The 24,748-nt window shown below is 44.3% G+C and overlaps 1 protein-coding gene across 2 annotated transcripts in view, besides 3 other annotated features; it reads right to left on the reverse strand.

Moving 5' to 3' along the window:
- The window catches only part of VWF (von Willebrand factor), a 175,794-nt gene continuing 151,905 nt past the window's right edge, over positions 860–24,748 (reverse strand). For both annotated transcript variants that reach the window (NM_000552.5, XM_047429501.1), the window contains exons 44-52: positions 23,582–23,692; positions 21,194–21,374; positions 20,110–20,150; positions 19,469–19,585; positions 5,479–5,577; positions 4,374–4,502; positions 3,827–3,866; positions 1,769–1,866; positions 860–1,186 (exon numbers count right to left, since the gene is read on the reverse strand). In NM_000552.5, coding sequence (NP_000543.3) covers positions 998–1,186; positions 1,769–1,866; positions 3,827–3,866; positions 4,374–4,502; positions 5,479–5,577; positions 19,469–19,585; positions 20,110–20,150; positions 21,194–21,374; positions 23,582–23,692 — 1,005 coding nt within the window. In that variant the 3' untranslated portion in view covers positions 860–997. The remainder of the gene's footprint in view (positions 1,187–1,768; positions 1,867–3,826; positions 3,867–4,373; positions 4,503–5,478; positions 5,578–19,468; positions 19,586–20,109; positions 20,151–21,193; positions 21,375–23,581; positions 23,693–24,748) is intronic.
- Positions 17,984–18,170: a silencer, noted in NCBI's record as "fragment chr12:6075167-6075353 (GRCh37/hg19 assembly coordinates)". NCBI's record gives its function as "represses an EF-1alpha promoter that drives an FKBP-Casp9 reporter gene in an ReSE screen in phorbol 12-myristate 13-acetate-treated (for megakaryocytic differentiation) K562 erythroleukemia cells {active_cell/tissue: K562(+PMA)}" and the evidence as "EXISTENCE:reporter gene assay evidence [ECO:0000049][PMID:32094911]".
- Positions 19,776–20,277: an enhancer, noted in NCBI's record as "H3K4me1 hESC enhancer chr12:6076959-6077460 (GRCh37/hg19 assembly coordinates)". NCBI's record gives its function as "activates a minimal SCP1, AML or CMV promoter by ChIP-STARR-seq in naive H9 embryonic stem cells {active_cell/tissue: H9 hESC(naive)}" and the evidence as "EXISTENCE:reporter gene assay evidence [ECO:0000049][PMID:30033119]".
- Positions 21,550–22,163: an enhancer, noted in NCBI's record as "NANOG-H3K27ac-H3K4me1 hESC enhancer chr12:6078733-6079346 (GRCh37/hg19 assembly coordinates)". NCBI's record gives its function as "activates a minimal SCP1, AML or CMV promoter by ChIP-STARR-seq in primed H9 embryonic stem cells {active_cell/tissue: H9 hESC(primed)}" and the evidence as "EXISTENCE:reporter gene assay evidence [ECO:0000049][PMID:30033119]".

A 24,748-nucleotide genomic window follows, 5' to 3' on the forward strand; every position in this document is an offset into this window, starting at 1 on the left:
AGAAACCCAGCCGGTCCAGCCCTCACCACAAAGGAAATCTCTAATGCTCTGCTGTTAACATTAGAGTCTCTTATTCCCTACCGAAAGCCTTGATCTCCCCATTGTTATTCTCGCCACTTCTTACATGATTACAGAGCAATTTACAGTTACCTAAGGACTTGCAGGCCCTATTTTAGGCTGAGGTTGTTTATCCTTACCACCTTATGAGTGAGAACAACACTCCTGTTTTCCAGATGAGGAAACTGAGTCTGAGAACCACCAAGGGGCTTGTTTGAGGCCACACAGCTGAGCGAGGGCCATGTGTGGAGCCCAGGTCTGCCTCCAAATCTGGGGCTCATGGCCTCAGGCTGAGTTGGGTGACCACACTACTGCACCTGCCAGCACCCTGTTTCCAGGTCCCCATCAGTCGTCAGCACCTCTCCCTCCCACAGGGGCCACTATGGGTACACAGGAACCCTGTGAGCCACGGGCTCAGAGAAATCCTTGCACACCTGGTCAGACACCTTCTCCACACTGCCAGCCATGTGACAACAATAGTATCTATCTCAGCAGGAGCCTGGCTCCAGGACCCACCCCTCTGCTATGTTCAGAAGCCCCTCCATTCAGAGACTGGAGAATCCAGTGTTGCTGGGAAAATCCCTTTTACTTTGTGCTGAGTTTCAGAAGAGGCCTACCCCATGCTATGCCTTTCCCACCCCTGGAGGCAAAGACATCACTCTTCCCCAGAAGTTGGCAGTATCTCACACTGACACTGAGGCTTGCAGATGGGGCCTGTGCTTCCTTCCTCAGAACCGGTCTCAGAACTCAGCCCCTGCCCACCGTTGCCATCTCAGCCCTACGACACAGTGCACCAGCAGCCTTTTGCAAGATAAGAGCTCAGCCTTTATTGTGGGCTCAGAAGGGCACAAGAGCAGAACATGCAGAGGACTGGCAGCACTCTGGCCTGGCCATCAGGCCAAGGCAGGCAGCAGCAGGCACCCATGCAGCTGCAGCAGCCTCACTTGCTGCACTTCCTGGGGGAGCATTTGCACTCCATGGCATTGAGAACCTCATGGTACACAACAGAGCCATTGGTGCAGTGCAGGGCCACCTGCATGGGCTCCGTCCGTGTCGGAGAGCAGCAGGAGCACTGGTCCTGCACATCGTTGATGTCAATGGAGTACATGGCTTTGCTGGCACATTTGCCCTGCAAGAAAGCAGAGGAAGATGGGAGCTTCACAATGGTGGGAAGTCCTGGCTTAGGCAGGGCTCTGGGGCAGCCTGCTTTCTCCCTGACCCCCTCCAAGCAAGGCAGGTCTGATCTCACCCAGAAGCACCCAGGACAGCTAGGCAATTTGTAAAGGAAGATCATAGGTCTGACATGTCCTCTTCTCTATGGTAATAATATCATACCCACACCCCTCTAGCTGCAATTTTTATGCATGTTAATGCATAAAATGTTTTATGCCTGATTATGCATGTTTTATGCAGGAAAATTTTATATATGTTTGACTGATCTTCAAGAATTGTGGCCCCCATCTTGCATAAATAACTCTCCATTTTCTGTAAAGGATTTGCTGAGTCTTTCCTCCATTTTTGTTTTTTTCCTGGAGTCAAAAATTTCCAGTTACTTCAATAAAACATTTGCTTAAAAAAAAATGCTTCCAGTTTATTTCCCTTCTCTTCCCTGCGAATTTTCCAGATCCTTCTAGAATGTAACTAAGGATAGGTATCCGAACACGGAGGCTCAGCCCTCCACACCCAGCCCTTATTGAAGCAGAGCCCTTACCTGGCAGTAGTGGATATCCACCTCTACTTCAGACTTACAGCTTCCCACCTTGACATACTGCAGCCTGGCAGTGATGTCGTTGCACTCAGGCTCCTCACCTACAGGACAGGTGAGAGATGAAACTTGAGGACTGGCTGGGGTTCTAGAGAACACTCTTCAGCCCCAGTGCCCTCACTGGGCTGGAAATAGGTCCCTTTCACAGTAACCAAATAAAGCCAGCCACAGGGAGGGAATTCAGTTATCCTGGTTCACCTCAGCTGTTCCTGGCCCGAAATATGCAGAGATATAGTTATTGCTGGACTTAACTCACTTAATGGTACAATTTTAATTGCAGGAAGAGCCTAAATTCACTGTGCTATGGTGATGTAAAATGAGGAAGACTTGCCTTTGTATCATTGTAGACTCTAAAAACCACATGGCTAAAGCAACCCTCTTGTGCTTGTAACTACATTCAGAAGCTAATGGGCAATGAAGTAGTCAATAAGTATAATTACTATCTCTTCATTCCTGCCTTGGGGTAAGAGGAAAGGCGAAGTCATGGTGATGTAAGGGCATACCCTGCCTCTCTGGGGACCGAGAAGATCCCTAGGCACCTTTGTGAAGGCCTCTCTTCGGGTACTGCTGACTCCAGGTTGCTGACATGGGGGTTTCCTTTCACACAGGGGTTAGTGGCATTCAGATCTGAATCTCTACTTGGCCCACTGGGAATTCAAAAATTTAATCCCAGCTCACCATTCCAGTCTGAACACTGGGAGTTTTCTGTCCTTAGATGGCTCGAAATCTAAATCAACCCTAACTACATATTAGTCTGCCTCCTAATTTCTAGATAATTTCATTGTAAAGGGAAAGCCTGCCAATTACATTAAGAGGATGAATTAAAAAAAAAAAACATTTAGACCAGCATACTATACTATGTTGCTGTGGATTTAAGGCCCTGAGCCTGGCTTATTGTCCTTATTAAAGATCTCGAAGCCTCTTGAATGAGTTGACCAACAAAGACCCTTTGTGGTGGTTTTGTAGGTAACAGTCTCCTAATCAAATTCCACGTGCAGTGTGCCTAGAGAGAATTCTTCTTCTCTGATGGTTTCCTGACTTCACATTCTTAAACCATTCAAATGGGAATCATAGAAAGACATGCTTTCAGAGTGCTTCCTCGATCTGAGATTTGGTTACAGCAATTGCAGGGGCTGTCAAGAATGAATGATTGAACACTGAAAGTATTCATGTTTTCACTCTTCCTTTCTCTATCTGTAAACAAGCATGGACCTGTGAACCCAGGGCAGAAAAGAAATACCCTAATCTAAAACAAAAAATCTTAGTCCAGGCAAGTAATTCTATATTCAGAAATTATGGCATTAGCATTGGGATCCTGAAAGTTATTTGTGCTCACAAACACAAGCATGTATGGGAAGAACACTGTCTGATGTGCAGATTTGTGTCTCGTCTCCAAAGCTGCTGCTGTGAGCAATGAGAACCAATCAGTAGGACATAACTACGAGGTAAAGAGGAGCTCAGAGTGAAGAAGAGGGGGTGATAAACTTAGACCAGCCCCCACAGCACATGTGGGCTGTTGTCAGCCAGCTGGTGGCTTCGCTTTCTCTTTGAGATAGCTTTAGCACACTCATGAATAGATATGTGTTGAGAGTCTACTCTGTCAGGATCATAGATCCAAGGTGCCTGTCTTCAAGAAGCTTTGGTTAGAGAGGGAACATATCGTCCCAGGATAGGACTATGAGCAATCAAAGATCCTATGAGGGAAAAGGCACATAAGAAGCTGGAGACAGGAGGGAGTTTGCAGGAAAAGGGGAAAGAGATTGCTCCATGGGATCTAAAAGGGAGTTCAAGAGGGCAGTCTGATGACATCCAAGGAGGGGAGGCTGCTCCCTGCAAGACTGAACATAATGACTGACCAGTGGTCACGAAATATCTTTCTGAAATAAAGCTTACTCCAAAGAACAGTCATGCGGCTTGCTAATGGGTTTCAAGGAGCAAGCTGCAAAGAGCCCCTGGACTTGCTCTGATGGGTTTCAAGGGACAAGATATTAGTAACGCACTCACATGTGTCACAGCAGGTGCCTGGAATTTTCATAATTTTACCCTAAGAAAACAGCAAAATTTCAGGTTAGGCACAAACAGTACAGAGTAGACAGCTTTCAGGTCACTCCGGGCCAATTTTTAGCTCCGAACTCACAGCCCTGTGCTTAAGTGCCCAGATGTAAACTATGCTTTCCTATCATAAATGTGAGCAGCTTGACCACCCTACCTGACCAGGCTGAAACAATTTTGATGATTCTGAATTCTCTTCCAGTTGAGTCATCAGGATCTTCATTCCCAGGGAGACTAAAAATCAGTTTGATCTCACATTTTATTCAAGAATCACACACTCAGCCTCCCTTAAGGAAAATATTTTTTTAAAACATCCTATATTGCAGAGAATTTTATCTCTCCGTAGGCTTTGATTTCGTAATCTCACTGATTCTTCAACTAGGCCAGAGATGTGCCTCAGACACTGAGAAATTATGCCGGAGCTGGGATGCACACTATTCAGAAGAATCTTGTTCTTAGAGATTGAGACAGTAAAGAGGAAAGCAGAATGAGTACTCACTCCCTCAGCCAGACACTTGTGTTCATCAAAGGGTGGGCAGCCTGTGACCCTCTTCTCCCAGAAGTACTCTCCTCTCTCATTGACCTTGCAGAAGTGAGTATCACAGCCATCCTGGAGCGTCTCATCACGCTGGAAGGAAAGAGGAGTGGGTAAAGTCAGAGACAGTGTTTGGTTCACAAAGCCACTTCAAACCATGAGCTTGACTCCATGGAGATGACGAAACAATCTGCAGAACCATGAAACAAGAAGACAGTGTATAATAAAGCCCCCACACCCAGAACACAGACCAGAAGTGGAGTCCCAGTTTTACAGCTTGTATCCTATGAACAGGGCTGCTATGTAGACTCTTCCGACCAGTTAAATGCTTGAAGGATTGAGATATAGCAACAGTAAACTGGCTAGCTGATAACTGAACTAGAGATGAACGAAGGGAACTACCTCCCAGCCCCACCAGCTAGTCCGGACTTCATAGACCAGAGTTTGTTTCACGCTGATGGCCTGTCCAGTCTTACAGACGCCCAAGGGTAGAGAAAATCTTAAAGATCAACCACCTCCAGGCCAGGCACGGTGGCTCACACCTGTAATCCCAGCACTTTGGGAGGCCGAGGTGGGCGGATCACGAGGTCAAGAGATCGAGACCATCCTGGCCAACATGATGAAATCCCATCTCTACTAAAACTACAAAAATTAGCTGGGTGTGGTGGCACGTGCCTGCAGTCCCAGCTACTCGGGAGGCTGAGACAGGGAAATCGCTTGAACCCAGGAGGCGGAGGTTGCAGTGAGCCGAGATCGTGACATTGCACTCCAGCCTGGCAACAGAGCAAGACTCCATCTCAAGAAAGAAAAAAAAAAGATCAATCAACTCCAAATTGTGAGGCCCTACACCAAGTACACTCTTGTCAAGAAGAGCAACAAAATAACTAAATAAAAGAGAAAATTCTGTGCCTGCAATAAGTCATCTATCTTTTCTTTATATAATCAGAAAGAAATAGAAAAAGAAGCCAATACTGAACCAAACTTAGCCCCTCTTCCTTGAAGAAAAATTTCCAAAAAAGGAAGCAAGATGGTGATATGTGAGGGAGCCCTGCATTCAGCTTGCTCCTACCTTCAGTGTCATGATCTGTCCTCCTCTTAGCTGAATGGTGCAAGCCGTAGGCAAACATCTCCCACAACATTCACCTGTGTTATTTTCTTCCTTGTAACCCTGCATCCAGAGGGGGAAAAAGCAGCCATAGTTAACCTCCTTAAAACATCCCAATTGTAAGTAGGCTGATTTTGCTGGCCTCTCATCTCTCTCATCCAGTAGTTTCACCTAGAATTCGGAAAGTCAACATCCAACTCCAACCAGCTTTTGTCAGTTCTCAGTCCCCTAGGTAGCATTCCTTCACTCTGCATGTGCACATCTCACTCAAGTTGTAGCAGCCAGTCCTATTAAATGAGACCTTTTCCCTGAGCTTCAGACTTACAAATTCAATTGTTTACTGGACAATTATTCTATTGTCATCTTGAGACTTGCATCCAAAAGGAAATTTGATTTTTGTCCCAAATCTCATCTTTCTCTGGTATTCCCTATTTTGGTAAGTGGCGTTAATCACCCAGTCTTTCAAACAAGAAATCTGAGAGTTATCCTTGACTTCCCCTTTTTTCTCATCCCCTGCTTATCACCAAATCTTGCCAAAAATGTATCTCAAACTCATCCATTGCTTGTCATGACCAGTCTCCTCTTTCATCATTGAGTCTAAATAACCATCATCTACCAGGGACTCTGGTAATAGTCTTATTTTGTCTTCCTACCTTCATTCTTGCTCCCCTGCTACAGGTTACCACACATCTGCCAGAATGACCTTCTTAAAGCCTACGTCTACTCTTGTGACTCCTCAGCTTAGAAACTTTTGATGAGGTTCTGGCTGTAGTTACGGCACAGTGGCTTGTATTGGACTAACCTTCCTGCAGATGATGATTATAAACAATTAACGAAATATTTAAAGCCAACTGTTCAAAAGCACTGGAAGAAGACCAAAATCAAGAATAAAGTCTAGATTATTTGATCCTTGAAAAAAGGAACCATAATGGACAAGATTCATGTTTAAATGGCTTTTCCCATGAGGGCCGTCTGTATGGCACTGGACAGCCAGAACTCAAGCAGAAAACTGTAGTTGTATCTGCCTGAGGACTCAGCAGACAGTTTGGAACTGCTAGAATAGCTGGAAACTAAAGGGAAAATGTCAGAAAAGAGGAAGTCAGAAACAAGAAGCCCCTAAATCTGCAAATAAACTCCTCTGAACTCTTTGGTTGATCCCTTAATTATACATCTATAGGAGAGCCTACAAGGAGCCCAGAGACAAAACGACAGCTGGAAAGCTCAAACACCTGAGCAGAAATTTCAGTTACCACACACCACACGGGAGAGAGTTTGCTGTCTGAATTCTAACGAGTTGGAGGGGCTGGGTAAACACCTGGGTTTCTACTGGAACTTCATAAGGGACAAGCCTTCACAGTAAACACTGTGTCTCAGGACTAAAATATTCAGCCTAGGGCTAAGAAAAATGCTGAAATAGACCTTCCCTAATGTAGTTTAAAAATCAAGACTTCTATAGTTCAAAATGAACCACCAATAATCTAACCACATTCTAGAACCAAACTTAACCTTTATTATAAAGAAACAACAGAATTAAGAGTCTCTTCAACATATCTTCCACCAATGTCTAATACACAGTAAAAAAAAATTTCATGCAAAGAAATAGAAAAATTTGATCTATACCAAGAGAATTATCACTTAATATAAACAGACACAGAAATGGCCCCAGTATTGCAATTAGCAGGCAGGAATTTTTTTTTTATTATACTTTAAGTTTTAGGGTACATGTGCACAATGTGCAGGTTAGTTACGTATGTATACATGTGCCATGCTGGTGTGCTGCACCCATTAACTCGTCATTTAGCATTACGTATATCTCCTAATGCTATCCCTCCCCACTCCCCCCACCCCACACCAGTCCCCAGAGTGTGATGTTCCCCTTCCTGTGTCCATGTGTTCTCATTGTTCAATTCCCATCTATGAGTGAGAACATGCGGTGTTTGGTTTTTTGTCCTTGCGATAGTTTACTGAGAATGATGATTTCCAGTTTCATCCATGTCCCTACAAAGGACAAGAACTCATCATTTTTTATGGCTGCATAGTATTCCATGGTGTATATGTGCCACATTTTCTTAATCCAGTCTATCATTGTTGGACATATGGGTTGGTTCCAAGTCTTTGCTATTGTGACTAGTGTAGCAGGCAGGAACTTTAAAATAACTATGATAAATATGTTAAAGAGTCTAGAGGAAATGACAGATATAATGGAAAAATAGACAGGGAATTTTAGGAACAATCTGGAAACTTTAGGAAAAAAATCAAATGGAAATCTTAGAACTAGAAAACACAATACTCTAAATCAAAAACTCACTGGATTGGATTAACTGCAGACAGGACACAAGAAAAGAAAAGATCCTTGAATTTTAAGACAGATCAATAGAAATTACCCAAACTGAAGCATAGAGAGGAATAAAGATGTAAAAAATATAAATAGGGAGCCCCAGGGACCAGTGGAACAGTATCAATGGTTTAATAATAAACAGTCATGGGCCAAAAAACAATGTTTCAGTCAACAACAGACTGCATGTATGACAACAGTCCCATAAAATTATAATGGAACAGAAAAATTCCTATCACCTGGTGACTTCATAGCACAACACATTACTCCCATGTTTGTGGTGATGCAGGTGTAAACAAACCTACTGTGCTGCCAGTCATGTAAAAGTATAGCACATGCAATTATGTACTTGATGATAATGTATGTTACTGGTTTATGAATACTTTAGAGATACTCCTTCTACTTATTAAAAATATAAAAAGTTAACTGTAAAACAGCCTCGGGTAGGTCCTGCAGGAGTATTCCAGAAGAAGGCATTGTTATCACAGAAGACGACATCTCCATGAGTGTTATTTCCCCTGAAGACTTTCCAGTGGAACAAGATGTGGAGGCAGAAGACTGATATTGATTATTCCAGCCCTGCGTAGGCCTAGACTACTGTGCGTGCTGAGTTTTCATTTTTAACAAAAAAGTTTAAAGATAAAAAAATGCCTATAGTTCCACCTGTTTGGGAGGCTGAGGCAGGAGGATCAGTTGATCCCAGGAGTTTAAGCTGCAATGAGCTATGATAATGCCTCTGCACTCCAGCCTGGGTGACGAATGAGACCCTGTCTCGAAAAAAAAAAAAAAGAAGTTAAACAAATTAAAAATTTCAAAAATAGGAAAAAGCTTTTAGAATGAGGATATAAAGAAAAAATATTTTTGTACAGCTGTACAATGTGTTTGTGTTTTAAGCTAAGTGTTATTACAAGAATCAAAAAGCTTTTAAAATTTTAAAACTTTATAAGTAAAAAAGTTACAGTGAGCTAAAGTTAATTTATTATTGAAGAAAGAAAAATATTTTGTAGTAAATTTAGGGTAGCCTAAGTGTACAATGTTTATAGACTATAGCAATGTCCTAGGTCTTCGCATTGACCCACCACTCACTCTCTGACTCACCAAGAGCAACTTCCAGTCCTATAAGCTCCATTCTTGGTAAGTGCCCTATACAGTATGTCATTTTTATCCTTTATATATTTTTTACTGTACCTTTTCTATGTTTACATGTGTTTAGATATACAAATGCTAATCATTGTGTTACAGTTGCCTACAGTATTCAGCACAGTAACATGCCATACAGGTTTGTCACCTGGGAGTAACAGGTTATACCACATAACCTAGTTGTATAGTAGACCATACCATCTGGATTTGCGTATGTGCACTCCACGATCTTTGCACAACAAAAATCACCTAACGATGCATTTCTTAGAACATATCCCCATTGTTAAGCAACACGTGAATGTACGTGTAATTAGAGTTTCAGAAAGACAGTAAAACAAAATGAAACAGAAAAAAATTAAGGAAATAATAACTGAAATTTTTCTCAATTTGATCAGAAAATCAACCCACAAATCCAGGAAACTATGAATCCAAAATAGAAAAGGTAGGAAGAAAATTACACAAAAGCATATACTCAAGCTTCTGAAAACTAAAGAAAAACTGTTAAAGCATCCAATAGAAGGGGGGAAATGCATACAGGAAAACAACAATAAAAATGGCGGCTGACTGGTCATCAGAAATAACACAAGCCAAAGACTAAGAAACATACTTAAAGTGATGAAATTTAAAAACAAACCCGTCAACCTAGAATTCTATATTCAGTAAATGAAGGCAGAATAGAGACATTTTCAGATAAATGAAATCTTAGAAATGTGTTGTCATCCAGCCCTGCACTAAAAGAAGTTCTTTAGGCTGAAGGGAAATGATATAATATGGAAATTCAGATATATAAGAAGGAAGAGCACTGAAAATTATAAATATGTAGGTAAATATAAATCACCACTTTCAGTTCACTTTTTAAATTCCATATAAGACAAATGACTGTTTAAAGCAAAAATAATAGCAATACCTTGTGGAATTTCTCTCTTCTTATGTAGAAGTAAACTGTATGACAACAAATGTACAAATTATGGAAAAAGTACGTTGTACATGAAATGTTATATTATTCAATCAAAGTGTACTGTGATAAGTCTAGAGCAACCACTAAAATAGTAATATGAAGAAATACAGTGAAAAGGCCAATAAAGAGATATAGTACTAAAAAAAAGAAAAAAAAGAAAAACTCAGTTGAACCAAAAGACAAAAAAGAATTAACAACAGAACAAGTAACAAAGAAGACAGCAGATAAAATGAATAACAGAAGAATAGCTTTAACCCCAACCATATCAATAATTACATTAAATGGAGATTGTCACCTTTAGATTTTAAAAAGCAAAATTCAATTAGTATGTTGTTTTCAAGAGACGCACTTTTAATTTAGATAGATAGGTTGAGAAGAAAGATGTAATAGACAAATTAGTCAAAATAAGAAAGTTGATATAGGTGTATTAATACCAAACAAGGCCAGTGAGGTGGCTTCATGCCCGTAATATCAGCACTTTGGGAAGCCCAGATAGGAAGATCGCTTGAGCCCAAGAGTTTGTGACCAGCCTGTGAAACATGGCAAAACCCCATCTCTACAAAAAATACAAAAAATCAGTTAGGCATGGTGGTGCACAACTGTAGTCTCAGCTACCTGGAAGGCTGAGATGGGAGGATCACCTGAGCCCAGGAAGTCAAGGCTGCAATGAGCCATGATCATACCGCTGCACTCCAGCCTGGAAGACAGAGTGAGACCCTGTCTCAAAAAATAAATAAATAAACATAAAAGATTACTCTTCACTTAGGGGAAGCAGGGAAAGGATTTTTACCTGTTTTCTTTCACTAATTTGATCCCTCTGCTTGGATAAATGATAGTAGATACCATATATGTTGAATGAGTGAATAACTGACTGTAATTCTTAGTTTGTTATCTTGGTCCATTGTTGCCAAGCTTAGATAGGACTAGAGACAGCCTAAGATGAGGAATGTTACCAAAAATAAAGGAGGTGGCTGGGTGCGGTGGCTCACACCTGTAATCCCAGCATTTTGGGAGGCTGAGGTGGGAGGATCGCTTGAGCCCAGGAATTCATGACCAGCCTGGGCAACATAGCAAAACTCCATCTCCACAAAAATTAGTTGGACATGGTGGCACACACCTCTAGTCTCAGCTAGGTGGGAGGCTGAGGTGGGAGAATCACCTGAGCCTAGGAGGCCAAGGCTGTAGTGAGCCATGATTGTGCCACTTCACTCCAGGCCTGGGCGACACAGTGAGATCCTATCTCAAAAAATAAATAAATAAAAAATAAAGGAGGTTATTTGATAATGACAAAAGAATAGATTCATCAAGACATAAGAATGCTTAAGAGGGATGCATCTACAGAACTTCATAATATATGAAGCAAAAATGGATAGAACTAAAGGGAGAAATAGGCTAATCCACAATCTTAGTCAGTGATTTTTATGTTCTCTCAGTAATTGATAAAAACAAGTAGGAAAAAGACAAATGAAGATATAGAGGATTTGGAAAACTGTAAGAACCAATATGACCTAGTTGGAAATAATAAACTATTACATTCCAGAACTGCAGAGCATACATTCTTCTCAAATGCACACAGAATATTCACAAAGACAGACCAAATTGTGGGCCATAAAAATGTAAACATGGATAAACAGAGACTGGATAAAAAAGTAAATAAATGTCAAGATTTTGAAATCTTAGAGATTATATTCTATGACCAATTTCAATATAATGAAATTATATTGAAATTAGCAACAATAAAGTATTGAAAAACACACCACCATATTTGGAAATTAAATAAAATACTTTTAAATAACCCATGGATCAAAAAATAAATATTTTTAACTAGCGGTAATAAAAAACAATATATCAAAATCTGAGGAGTACAGCAAAAACAGTTCTTGAAGGAAAATTTATATTTTAAATTTTGTATTAGAAAATCATGAGCTAAGCTTCCATATTAAGATGCTAGTAAAAGAAGAGCAAATTAGACCCAGTCATTAAATGACAAGACATAATAAAAATAAGGGCAGAAATCAATAAAATAGAAAAGAAAAATATAAAAAGTAAAACAACAAAGGCAAAAGTTGGATCTTTGAAAGATTAATAATATAATAATATATAATATAATAATAATTAATATATAATAGACAAATTAGTCAAAATAAGAAAATCTCTAGCTAGATTAATCAAGAAAATAAAAAGAAACAAATTATCAATATTAGAAATAATAGAAGGTTTACAACTACAGATTCCACAGATATTAAAAGTATAATAAGGAAATGTTATAAACAACTTTGTGTAACTAAATTTGACCAACTTAAATACACGGATAAGTTCCATGAAAAACTGATTTACCAAACTAATTCAAGAAGAAATAGAAAATCCGTTTTTTTATTTTAAAAGTTGAATTTTATATATAAATCTTTTCCACATGAAAAGCTTCAAGTCTAGTAAGCTTCACTGATGAAATCTGCCAAACATTTTAGGAAGAAATAATACCAATTTTATATAAGCTCTTTAGAAAACACCACCATATTTTGTTGGATCTAGCATAACCCTGACATCAAAATCTAACAAAAGCATTAAAGAGAAGAAAATTAGAAACCTAACACTCTTAACATAAACATTAAAATCTTTAACAAAATATGAGCAAATAGATCTAGCACTGGATGTGAAACAGGATAACACGTCATGAAGAAAGGGGATTCATCAAACGAATGAAAGGTTGGCTCACCATTTGAAATCAATCCATGCAATTCCTCATGTTAACAGAATTAAGGGGGAACCATATGGTCATCTTAAAATATACAGCAAAACTGTCTGACAAAATTTAAACCAATTCATTGTAGAAACTCTCAGCACTAAAAAAATAGATGAGAACTTCTTCAATATGCTATAGGACAGGGGGCCCCAGTACCAGTCCGGTCAGTGGCCTGTTAGGAACTGGGCTGCACAGCAGGAGGTGAGCAGTGGGCCAATGAGTGAAGCTTCATCTGTATCTACAGCCACTCCCCATCACTCACATTACCAACTGAGCTCTGCCTCCTGTCAGATCAGCAGCCAGCATTAGATTCTCACAGGAGCCCAAACCCTACCGTGAACTGCACATGTGAGGGATCCAGGTTGCGTGCTCCTTATGGGAATCTAATGCCTGATGATCTGTCACTGTCTCCCATCGCCCCTAGATGGGACTATCTAGCTGCAGGAAAACAAGCTCAGGGCTCCCACTGATTCTACCTTATGGGAGTTATATAATTATTTCATTATATATTACAATACAATAATAATAGAAATAAGGTGCATAATAAACATAATGCATCTGACTCATCCCAAAACAATCCCCCTGACCCTAGTCGATGGAAAAACTGTCTTCCACGAAACTGGTCCCTGGTGCCAAAAAGGTTGGGCACTGCTGCTGTTGAACACACAACTATATCATACTTAATGAATTAATTCCCTCTAAGATCAGAAAGAAAATATTCCCATCAGTTCTATTCAATATTGTACTGATTATATTAGCCAGTTTGATAACAAGAAAAACAAAACAGAATGTATAAAGATTTCAAAGGAAGAAGTAAAAGCTGTCTTTATTTGAAGGTGTCATAACTGCTTATGAAGAAAATCCTTAGGAATCTGCCCCCTCAAAAAAAAAAAAAAAACACTATTACTACAACTAATAAGTGAATTTAGCAAGGCTGAAGAATACAAGATCAAAATATAAAAACTGATTTTATAAAAGCAACAAACAAAACATAAAATTTAAAAAAAACTTCCATTTGCAATATCGTCCAAAAACTTTAAATACTAGGTAATAAGTGTAACAAAATTTGTGCATCTACACAAAAAAAATCATTGCAGAGAAAAATTAAAGGAGACTGCTAAGATGTGAATGTGTGTGTCCCTACAAAATTCCTATGTTGGGATTTAAACTCCCAACTGATGATATTAAGAGATGGGGCCTAAGTGATTTAAGTCATGAGGGCTCCACTCTCCTGAGTGAATTTGTGCTGTTATTTAAAAAAAAAAAAAGTCAAAGGGAATGCCCTAGTGCCTTTTGCCTTTCCACCTTCTGCCACATGTGGATGCCATGAGAAAGCACTGCCTATGAGGAACAGGCCATCATCAGACATCAAATCTGCTGGTACCTCAATCTTGAACCTCCAGAACAGTGAAAAAATTAATTTCTGTTCTTTACAAATTACCCAGTCTCAGGTATTGTGTTACAGCAGCACAGACTGAGAGCAAGACCTAAATAATCGAAGAGATATACTATGTTCATAAATTGAAAAACTCAACCTTGTCTAGACATCCCTTCTCTCCAGATTAACCTATAGATTCAATATAATCCGGCACACTTTAAACATTTTTTTAATAAAAATTAACAGGATGACTCTAAATTTATATAGAAATTGAAAGGACATTAAATACCCAAAACAATCTTGAAAAACAGCAAAGTTGAAAAACTTAAATTATCTAATTTCAAGGCTAACCATAAAGTTACAGTAATCAAGACAGTGGTGAGACCATAAGGATAGACAAAGGATCAGAAAAAAAGGAGCCTAGCGATTGGTCCATACATACACAGGCAATTCTTTTTTTTTTTTTTTTTTTTTTTGAGACAGAGTCTCGCTCTGTCACCAGGCTGGAGTGCAGTGGTACAATCTCGGCTCACTGCAACCTCTGCCCCCTGGGTTCAAGTGTTCAAGTGATTCTCCTGCCTCAGCCTCCTGAGTAGCTGGGATTACAGGCACCTGCCACCACCCCCAGCTAATTTTTGTATTTTTAGTAGAGAAGGGGTTTCACCATGTTAGCCACGATGGTCTTGATCTCTTGACCTGGTGATCCACCTGCCTCAGCCTCCCAAAGTGCTGGGATTACAGGCGTGAGCCAGCACGCCCGGCCAGCAATTCATTTTTTACAAAGGCACCGACATAATTTAATGAGGAAAGGATCATCTTTCAACAAATGGTGCTGGACCCACTGGATAGCCACATGGGAGACCCCTACTTTATACCACATTTAAAATTTATTCCTCATGGATCATAGACCTAAAAGTAAAACTAAACTATAATGCTTCTAAAAGAAAACATAGGATACTATCTTCATGACCTTAGAATGGACAAAAACTTCTTAAACAGGACATAAAAAGCACTAACCATAAAAGAAAAACATCTATAAACTGAATTTTATCGAAATTAAACTTCTGATCTTCAAAAGACACAATTAAGAAAAATAAAAGCTGAGCCACTGGCTGAAAGAAAATATTTCATTAGATACCTTATAAAGGACTAGTATCCAAAATACAGAAAAAAACTCATAATCAATCATTAAAGGGCAAACAACCCAATTTAAAAATGGCCAAAAGCTTGAACAAACACATCACAAAAGATGATATGGCCAATAAGTATGTAAGATGCTCCACATCATTAGCCAACAGAGAAATGCAAATTTAAAATACTAGAAGATTCTGAAATTAGAGAAGCAGTAAGGAAAAAATGCTAGAAGATATCACTTCACAATGGCTAAAATTGAAAAGCATGACAATACCAAGCATTGGTGAGGAAGTAACTGGAACTCCCATAGAATGCTGGAAAAAACTTCTCCCTGAGAAGCATGGTAAGTTGCAAATTGTGTCTCTGCTGTTCTCTTGTATCCCCAGCATCTGGCCCCTACTTGGCACCCCTACACTCACAGAGGAGGTAAGTTCAGCTAGGAACTTGTTTTCCTGTTTGTTTTGTTTCGTTTTTGAGACAAGGTCTCGCTCTGTCACCCAGGCTGGAGGGCAAGTGGTGCAATCATAGCTCAGCGCAGCTAGGGACTTGTTGAAGCGGCATAAGGTAAGAGCGCCTTATTTATATCTGCATCGGACAAAGAAGCAGCTTCGAGACACAGGACTGGGAGAAAAACAGGGCTGGCAACTTTTTATTTTGCAAAGTAAGAGTGTTTTAAACAATTTTAATAAAATAAAAACCAAAAAGCAGCCAGGCGCAGTGGCTCACGCCTGTAATCCCAGCACTTTGGGAGGCCAAGGTGGGCAGATCACGAGGTCAGGAGATTGAGACCATTCTGGTTAACACGGTGAAACCCCGTCTCTACTAAAAATACAAAAAAAAGAAAAAAATTAGCTGGGCATGGCGGTGGGCGCCTGTAGTCCCAGCTACTCAGGAGGCTGAGGCAGGAGAATGGCGTGAACCTGGGAGGCGGGGCTTGCAGTGAGCCGAGATCTCACCACTGCACTCCAGCCTGGGCGACAGAGAGAGACTCTGTCTAAAAATACATACATACATACATACATACATACATGCATACATACATACATACATACATGCATACATACATGCATACATACATACAAAAAGCTACCAAGCTACCATCTACTGTCTCATCATTCCCTAAAAATTATTAGCTTTGCTTTCAGAAGAAAAACAAATTATAGTTCTTTTGACCCTTTCCACCTTCGTACCCCCAAAAAACAGAAAGAACGTAATCACATAATCCCAGAATTTTTTAAAGAATCAATTTAGCTTTGTGAGAAACCAACTCTGTTGTCATTCTTTTTCTCATTTTGCCACATTTAGTGATCACCATTCAGAGATCCATTCATTGGGGTCCTGAGGCTTTTCTATTATGAATCACCAAGTCAATTTGGAGCACCCAGACAGACGACCTGTCCCAAGGTCAAGGTTAGGAGTCAGTAAGCTTGCTCAGAGATTAATTTAAACCATTTGCTCTCATAAATCAAGCCATGAACTTGGCGTGTCTTCAGGAGCAGGCAGAAGGAAAAGCCAGTGAGGACAGGGCAGTCAGGGAGGCAAAATCCCCACAGCAGGAGGCAGAGGGCAAAGTTAGGCCAAGAAAAGGAAAGGTGGAGGGCAGTTATGCGAGAAGAAAGATTTGGAAGAAAAGGGAAAGGAGGCAGAAAATAAGCCGAAGGGGGCAACAGTGTTAAGGGTGTGGCAGGGGCTTGGAAGAAGCAAGGGAGGGAGGAGAGAGCATGGAAGTGAATGGAGGGAACAGCCTGCTCTGCAGCATGTCTCCTACCCGGCAGGGCCAGACCACAGCTGCACACGATGGACAGGACTTGTTTGGGCACTGCTGGATTTCCTGGCTGCTGCTGGCTGGGGGTATGTGTTCCACATTTCCCCGTTCAAGGGGAGGGCAGAGCTGCCCTTTGGGTTTTCCCCAGAACATTTGATCACCGCAGGAAACATCCTTCTCAGGAGCAGCCTCTTCCTCCTCCTGCTGAGCAAGTTCCCAGCCAGCCCCAGAGTTCACTTGTTTAGGTCTGAGCAGCCAATTAGTCCTGCTTTCCTCACACAGTTGTCCTCCTAAAACTGCCTTGCACACCCCTCAGGGCCCCTTTCCATGTATTTCATCGACGGCTCGCAGCCCTTCCATCCATCTCCCCGTGTTTCCCTTTTCTCACCCCGGCTTCTGGCTGCCGGTTATTCATTCACCATGCCCTTCCCTGGAAGGTCTATTCGACATTCAACCCATTCATTGCTCAAGGTCCACTCAGGGTTGCCCTCCTCCGGGACGCCTTTCCAGGGTTCCACAGCAGAGTGACCTCTCTTCCTCATGCTTTCTTTGAGCAGTCAGCTGTCAAGCCTCATCTCAACCACTTGTCAGCACAAACTGCCTCCTGCTGCTCTCCCTTTAGGTAAGAGCACTGGCTTCCCTGGGAGGCAACGGAAGACTCACATCTCGGGCAACACTGGCACTTCAGCCCAACGTGGGCAGTTCAAGCCGACCTACCTAGACCTAATTCACCACAGCTACCCCCAACCCAGGAGGTGTCCCAGAGACCCTTCGTGGCAGAAGACGTAGTAAGACTAGCGGAGGACGCTGAGCTAGAACGGGATCAGCAGAGGCCGGATTCAGCAAGGCTTGAGAGATGCATAGAGGGAGGGCGAATCTAAGGGATCTCAAGAGAGAGGAGGTGGCTTGCACTCCCCTGGGAGATACCAGAATTCTGGAGAAAAAGAAGAAGAATACACAGGCCAAATGGGGCCATGGATTTTTGAGTATTTGGAAACCTACATCTGAGACTGGATTCTAAAGGTGGATTTCTCCAGATACGGAGGAAGCGGCTGTGGCTCCCTCTGAACACCAGAGGGCACTGCAGGGAGTGAGCGGGCCTGCCCTCCAGAGAGCAGGCTGCAGTGCCGTCTCCACAGGCTGGCATTGAGGTGGGCGGCCTGCTGTCTCCTGACTGCCCTGATTGGACTTCAGTGGACATCCCAGGAAAAAGGGATGCCACACGACTCCAGGCAGCATTGTTTCGTTCCATATGGAAGCCCAGATGTGTTCTAGGAGGGTTGTTACACAATACACACACACACACGCACACACACACGTGTGCACACAACTGGGCCCCAAATCCTAAAACATCAACTGGGATTTTTAAAAAATAAGCAAAAGGAAAACCACATACTTACCTTCTTCCTAATTAAGGAATGCTCTCTCTGAATCATTCTCTCAGAAACAGCTGTGTCTCCTACAGACCCATCCGCTCCATACTTCTTTTATTAAGCCCATACTTTGAGCATGATACCTCTAATTGCCATGAAGAACACAGATGTAGAACATCTACCTGTCCCTTGTCCTCAACAGTGTAAAACGCACCTGCACGACCTCTTGGCCCCCACCCCCTCCCCTCTGGCCACTGTGCTGCCTGCTTATAAGAGGCTCCTCTCCACCTTGCTGCAGCCCCGACTGTCTCACCGAGCTGAGGGAGACAAGCACTTCCCTGTACCCTCTGAGAAAGCCATCGCCATAGTTCATGCATCTAGCTCACAAGAGACTCCTCTGACCAATGGCATTTTCTAAAACAGCAGAAGCCCCACATCCAGAAGGGAGCTTGAGGAAGAAGCCAAGGCCCCTCCTGAGCTTGCAGGCCCTGCCCTGCCGCCATGGGCTCAAAACTTCCCAGTGAGGTGTTACTAAAAGTCACAGCTGAAACCCACGGAATGCCAGTTTCATCTCCCAAACTAGGAACGAGGAGTCCACCTCTCAGAACCACCTCAAGGAAGTATTCAGAACAAGCATCGTCAGCATGGCCTGGCAAAAACAGGGTGAAATATTTGAAACCATCCAAATGTCCCGCAATAATAGCTTGGTTGTATACACGAGGCACATCCATTCAAAGGAATGTTGTGTAGAGCCTTGCACATAGGAGGTGTCTGATAAATATTTGTTGACTAATTTTTAATATTTTCAAAGAACGGTGGTGCTGTTTCTTAAAATACATAAAGGGATACAGAATTGTAAACATAGTATCATAAGCCTGGCAAATACTGTGTTTATTCTGAAAACTCAGGAAGAAAATGTTTGCAACTTATAAAACTAAAATTATAATTATTTCTGAGGCATGCAGTTTGGGTGGGTGATTTTTAGTCTCTTCTTTATTATTGTCAATTATTGTTTATAATCAGAAAATAATGAGAGATTTATTTATTTAAAGACCGCAGTGAGGTCCCACTGCCTGGGTCCCACACGCGTCCAGTCCATGCCCTCGGTCCCCATTGAGCCTCTCTTACCAGGGGGCAGGGGTTGCAGGTGGTCTTCCTGCACTCCAGCTTGAATCCAGAGATGACCCCCACCTGCACCATGCAGCGGCAGGTCGTGCACACATCGATCATCACAGTCTTCCCGGGCTGGAAGCAGAGGCACCAGGGTCAGGCCCCCCAGCATCCCCCAACCCCCCACTCACCTCACTCTCATACCCTGTCTCCTGCCCACCCACCCATAGCTCCCATGAGCCATCGCTCTGCTGCTCCTCCTGTCTCCTATGGCCCACTGCCTTCCCGTCCTCCCACCTCCAGTATCAAGATGGTAAGAGTGAGAACTTTCATGCCAAAGAGGCAGCCCAGGTAGTGGCAGAGGGGACAAACTAAAACGTGCACAATGACTTCAGAGTGCTTCTCTGCACACAGAAGAAATGCACAGGTGCCTGAGGTGGGGGCCAGGAAGTGAGTGTGAGACAGGCCCGGAGAGTCAGGAAGATGGTCCTAGCCTGGGCTCCATGATGCCAGGCACGTCCCACAGGCAGTGGAAAGCTGGGGTTGGGTCTCTCTGGTTTCCTTCATTTCTGCTTTACAATGACTTGCCTGCTCCCCTTCCCACAGTACCCCCTTCCCTGTCCCCACCACTTGCTCTGGAGAAGAGGACAGCGGCTCACCCCAATGACAGTGCCATTGAGCATGCAGGCCTCCATGCGCTCTGGGGGAGAGAAAAGTGCAGAGTGAGAGTGGGCAAAACACACCCTGGTGAGACCGGCGAGCAGGCTGCTCTCTTTGGGGCTCCTCCTCCGTGTCTGGGCCTCCCTCCTGTATCGGTCGGCCCTTTCCCCCCACCCCACAACCCAGCGCTGGGGGTCCTACTGCTGGAGCCCACAGCGGCCTCCCTTCCCCATGCAGCCCACAATGAGAAGAGCCCCGTACGTTCTCCAAGTGACAGCGCTTGCTTATGTGAATTTACATTTAAGAGATGGGATGAATGGGAGGATGTTTGGGTTTATGAAACAATGAAACGCTACTCTTGAAAATTTCAGTTTCAAGAATTCAGTGGCCAGGCACAGTGGCTCATGCCTGTAATCCCAGCACTCTGGGAGGCCGAGGTGGGCAGATCACTTGAGGTCAGGAGTTCAAGACCAGCCCAGCCAACATAGCAAAACCACATCTCTACTAGAAATACAAAAATTAGCCGAGTGTGGTGGCGCACGCCTGTAATCCCAGCTACTTGGAGGCTGAGGCAGGAAAAGTGCTTGAACCCAGGAGGCCAAGGTTGCAGTGAGCCAAAATAGTGCCACTGCACTCTAGCCTATCCAGAGATAGCGCCAGTCACTCCAGAGTGAGAATCTGCCTCAAACAAACAAACAAACAAATAAATAAAATTCAGAGCAGGATATGGTAGAAAGAACTAGTTTTTGTTGTTGTTGCCATTTTTCTGTTTGTTGGCAGCGTTGGGGTGGCAAGTTGAACGCCTTCCCCTGGGTGAAACGTCACAGCATTTCAAAGGTGGTCTCCAAATCAGAGAAGCCTAGGGCCGAATCCCAGTCTTGCCATGTAGTGATCTTCAGGAAATTCCTATGGTTTTCCCATTTAATTTGCTTTCTCATAAAAGCAGTAGGAGCAGATGGGAAGATTTCGGTCCTATCCATTTCCCTAAGTTGCTAAAAAGGCAAAGAATTCAGGAGCCAAAAGTGGAAAGAGAGGCTTAAAGGTGGTGCCCGGTCCAGCCCAGCCCCAGCCTGCATGCCTTACCACAGCGACAGCTTGGGCAGCACGCTGAGGTCTTACAGCTCAGCTGAAAGCCCGAGGGGCAGACAGGGACCTCCAGCTGGGGGCAGGAGACGTTCCTTTGTTGTATAAAGACCTCCTCCTTCACTCGGACACACTCATTGATGAGGCAGGGGTTCTCCGGGGAGGCCCACTGGGAGCCGACCTGCAGGGCACCAGAGTTAGTCCAACAAGCTGGGGCAGGGCTGGAGCCCAGGGTCCCATTGGGAATGTGCTCTTCTCTCAGGAAGGTGGTTTCTAGACGTGAAGCCTGGCTTAACATGTAAGTCCCACCACAGGGTAGGGCCCACGGAGGGGATGAGTGGGGCTCGTCTCAGTGAGCACCACTCAAACAGTTTGGGTCAAAATCACCTGACTGAGGCACCCAGGCAAGCACCTTGGAGAAGCCAGGGGACTCACCCTCCCTTCCTCAGCATTGGTTTGAGCTGAGCTCAGATACTCCGGCCAAGAAGCAGCACTGTGGGCCATCAGTGGGAAGGTGCAGCCGGGAAGCTCAACCCATTTCCCAGGCTGGTGCCACTTCCCATGGTAAGGGGAGACAGGGAGCTGGCAGAAGCCCGGGAAGGCTGGCCTGGGACCCCTGCAGCCCTGCAATCTGTCCACGAAGACTGCACATGGGTAGCCTGACCCCAAGGGTTGTCACCACGGGCAAGAAGCTGAAAGGGCCCAAGACCATGGTTCAGAAAAGTCACCAGGAGGATCTTCCCCAGAAAATGTCACTCCGAGTGCCCTCTGTGTCGGCCAGCACCCAGATATGTAACTAGGTGCCCTCTGCCGCCATCTCAGGCCCTGACCTACTTCTCCTGGTGCCTGCTTATTTCTTCTCCTTCCAGATGAGGTGTAGAAAATGCCAAACACTTGCAGCCATTCTCTTCACCCCCCACTCCTGACTCCCTGTGGCCAAATCTTCCCACTGCAGGCCTGATTCCACCCTCCAGACTTCTCCCTCCTCTGATTACTCACTCACTGAGCCTTGGCCACTGGCTCATTAAGAGGACCCATTGCCACCACCCCCCGCTGACCCCTGACATGGTTCAGCAGCAAAGCCATTGCCAACACCCAAGTCTTTTAGGTAAGATGGAGACTTGAGGTAGAGGAGAGAAGCCCAGGTCACCTTATGCTTTGCAAACACTGATGAGGGGCAGGGTGGGGTAGGCCTTGAAGGGAGATGAGAGATGGGGAAAGGGGCAGGAATACTGAGCGCAAAGGGACCAGCTCTCAGCCCCACCAGGATGGGGCAGCCCCTGATCTGAGCTGGACCTTGACCCTGGGGAGAAGAAACAAAACCTGCCTCCATCCAGGGCACATGGGAGCAGAAGCACTAAAAGGTGGGGAGGGGAGAACACAGGGAAGAGAACCCATAGGCAACTCGGACTAGAGGGGGAGGTGGAAACTCACCTGAAAAAGCCCAGTGAGTCATTCTGTTATCACTGGGGAGGAGAAAGGCAATGGGCCTGGGTAGGAGATGGGAAAGGCTCAGGACAAGATAGCAGACCTTTGGCCTTCCTCTCGAAGGGAAGCGCATTGGTCTTGCTGGGGAAGACAGAGGCAAGGCCCATATGGGCAGTTCACCTGTTCCCAGCACCAGCTCCCAAGGCTGCCAGGACTTGGCACCACCCACCTTATCCTTCTGACCAGACTGAAAGAACTGTGATTCTCCTAGCATCTGGACTAAAACCGCCAAAGACGGAATCCTCTGTGTTTAAGAAAATGGCTTGATGAGCATCAGAGTCTAAGAGAGAACCTGGCAGCACATGGGGGACAGCTGAACTGCTCTGTGTTAGAAGAAGGGACTGGCGGGGGTGAGCCAGCCAGGAGAGGACAAGAGTGGGGCAATGGGGGGCTGGCAAGATGCCCCAGCCAGACCTGCAGAAATAGCAGAGGGACTGTGGGAAATACTGTTCCTTTTCTGGGTTGTAAAGGTTTCCACCTCCCTAAAACCACCAAGGAGGTTTCAGTAGAAATCAGTGAAAAGGTCTGAGGACCCTGCCTGGGTTGATGTGGTCCAGAACAGTACTTGCAGCCTGTGGCACTTTGGAGGGGTGGTGAGGCCATCCCAAAACCAGCCCCTCAGCCACAGCACCTCAGATTCACAGGTGAATGAGAGAGCATGAATCCCCCTGGGAGGGCCCTGGGCTTCTCCCAAAATCTACAAAATGGGAAGGCTGAGGCCGTCTTAACTGGTTCCTAAGGGGCAGGTCATCCCAGCTGGCATCTGGATAACACCAACAGCTGGGTGAAATGCCCAGTGGGGAAAGCAAAGGGCAGGGAATGAGATGAAACCAAGGTCAACGCTGGTCCCTGGAGTGGCCCCAATCTGCCCTCCTCCCCGTCCCGGGGGCCTGGACCTACACTCTTCCAGGAAGACTGGGAGTCCCCCCGCGGTGAGCCAGTCACCACCTCACAGGCAGATGGCAGGCACCTTCCACAGCACTCGCCTTCATGCAGAACGTAAGTGAAGCCCTGGAAAAGCAGAAAAAACAGAGTAAGGACAGGCCAGCAGCAAAGACACAGGGGCTCTTACCTACGCCTCCTGCGTACTGAGCCCTGGGGTTGTGCCAAGTGATCACTGGTCTGGGCATTTTCATCTTTGTTGTCAACCAGCCTCAGGGCCATGCCAAGAAGCAGCAACCACCAGGTCACTAAACGAAGTCTTACATCAGCTGCAGAGATATAATTCTGCCCCCTGAAAGATCCCACTTTGAGAGAGACCATGATCCAGTCCATAGGAGCATTAAAGACAGCCCAGAGTTCCCTTAGCAGCAGCTTACTAATCTGGCCCTTATCATGGCCAACTCTAGGGACCCTCACTGACCGGGAGGCACACTCAGGATGACTGGGATCCAGTCTCCACTCTCGCAGGGCTAGCCTCCCATACAAGACGAACACTCGATCCCAATACTGCTCACCAACGTGCAGATTTGGGCTTCCCCAAGAGGTTACTTGACATTTACCTAGTAATTTATAGGGTACGGTGTTCTTTACAAAAGAAAAGTGAGATGAGAGAGCAACAGACAAAGCTTCCCCAGAAAGCATGCCAGGGAGACCAGCATCCTGGAAGTTTGTCAGCCCATCTTGCCTCTAGAAGGTCCTCCAATCTGGCTAAAGCATCATGAACATGGACTGAAACCCTCCTCTGAAAAGTCTATAGAAAGAATAGTCAAAGCAATGACAGTGTGTTTGTCCCAGGAGCCAAGAGAAAAGAACCCAGGACTACGTTCCATCTTGGAGCTGTGTCCTTAAGAGAGAAAGAGTAACCACAGCTGTTCAGGACGGGTGTGGATGGCAGCCTGCTCTGCTCCCCAAGCACTCTCCCCAGCAGGGCCGAATCTGAAGATGCACAACACGTGTGCCTCTCTCTGGACGGTCTCAACACTCCTGAGACTTGGCTCAACCCCACCCAGTCTCCACGAGACCTACTGATATCACCGCCCACCTCCCAGCAGTGTGCAGTGAGCTGTCTCCAGGCTTTTATCAGCCAAGATTCTAGTCATTTACTGTGCACCTATGATGTACTAG

This window comes from Homo sapiens, chromosome 12 (assembly GCF_000001405.40).
Source record: "Homo sapiens chromosome 12, GRCh38.p14 Primary Assembly".
Taxonomy (NCBI): domain Eukaryota; kingdom Metazoa; phylum Chordata; class Mammalia; order Primates; family Hominidae; genus Homo; species Homo sapiens.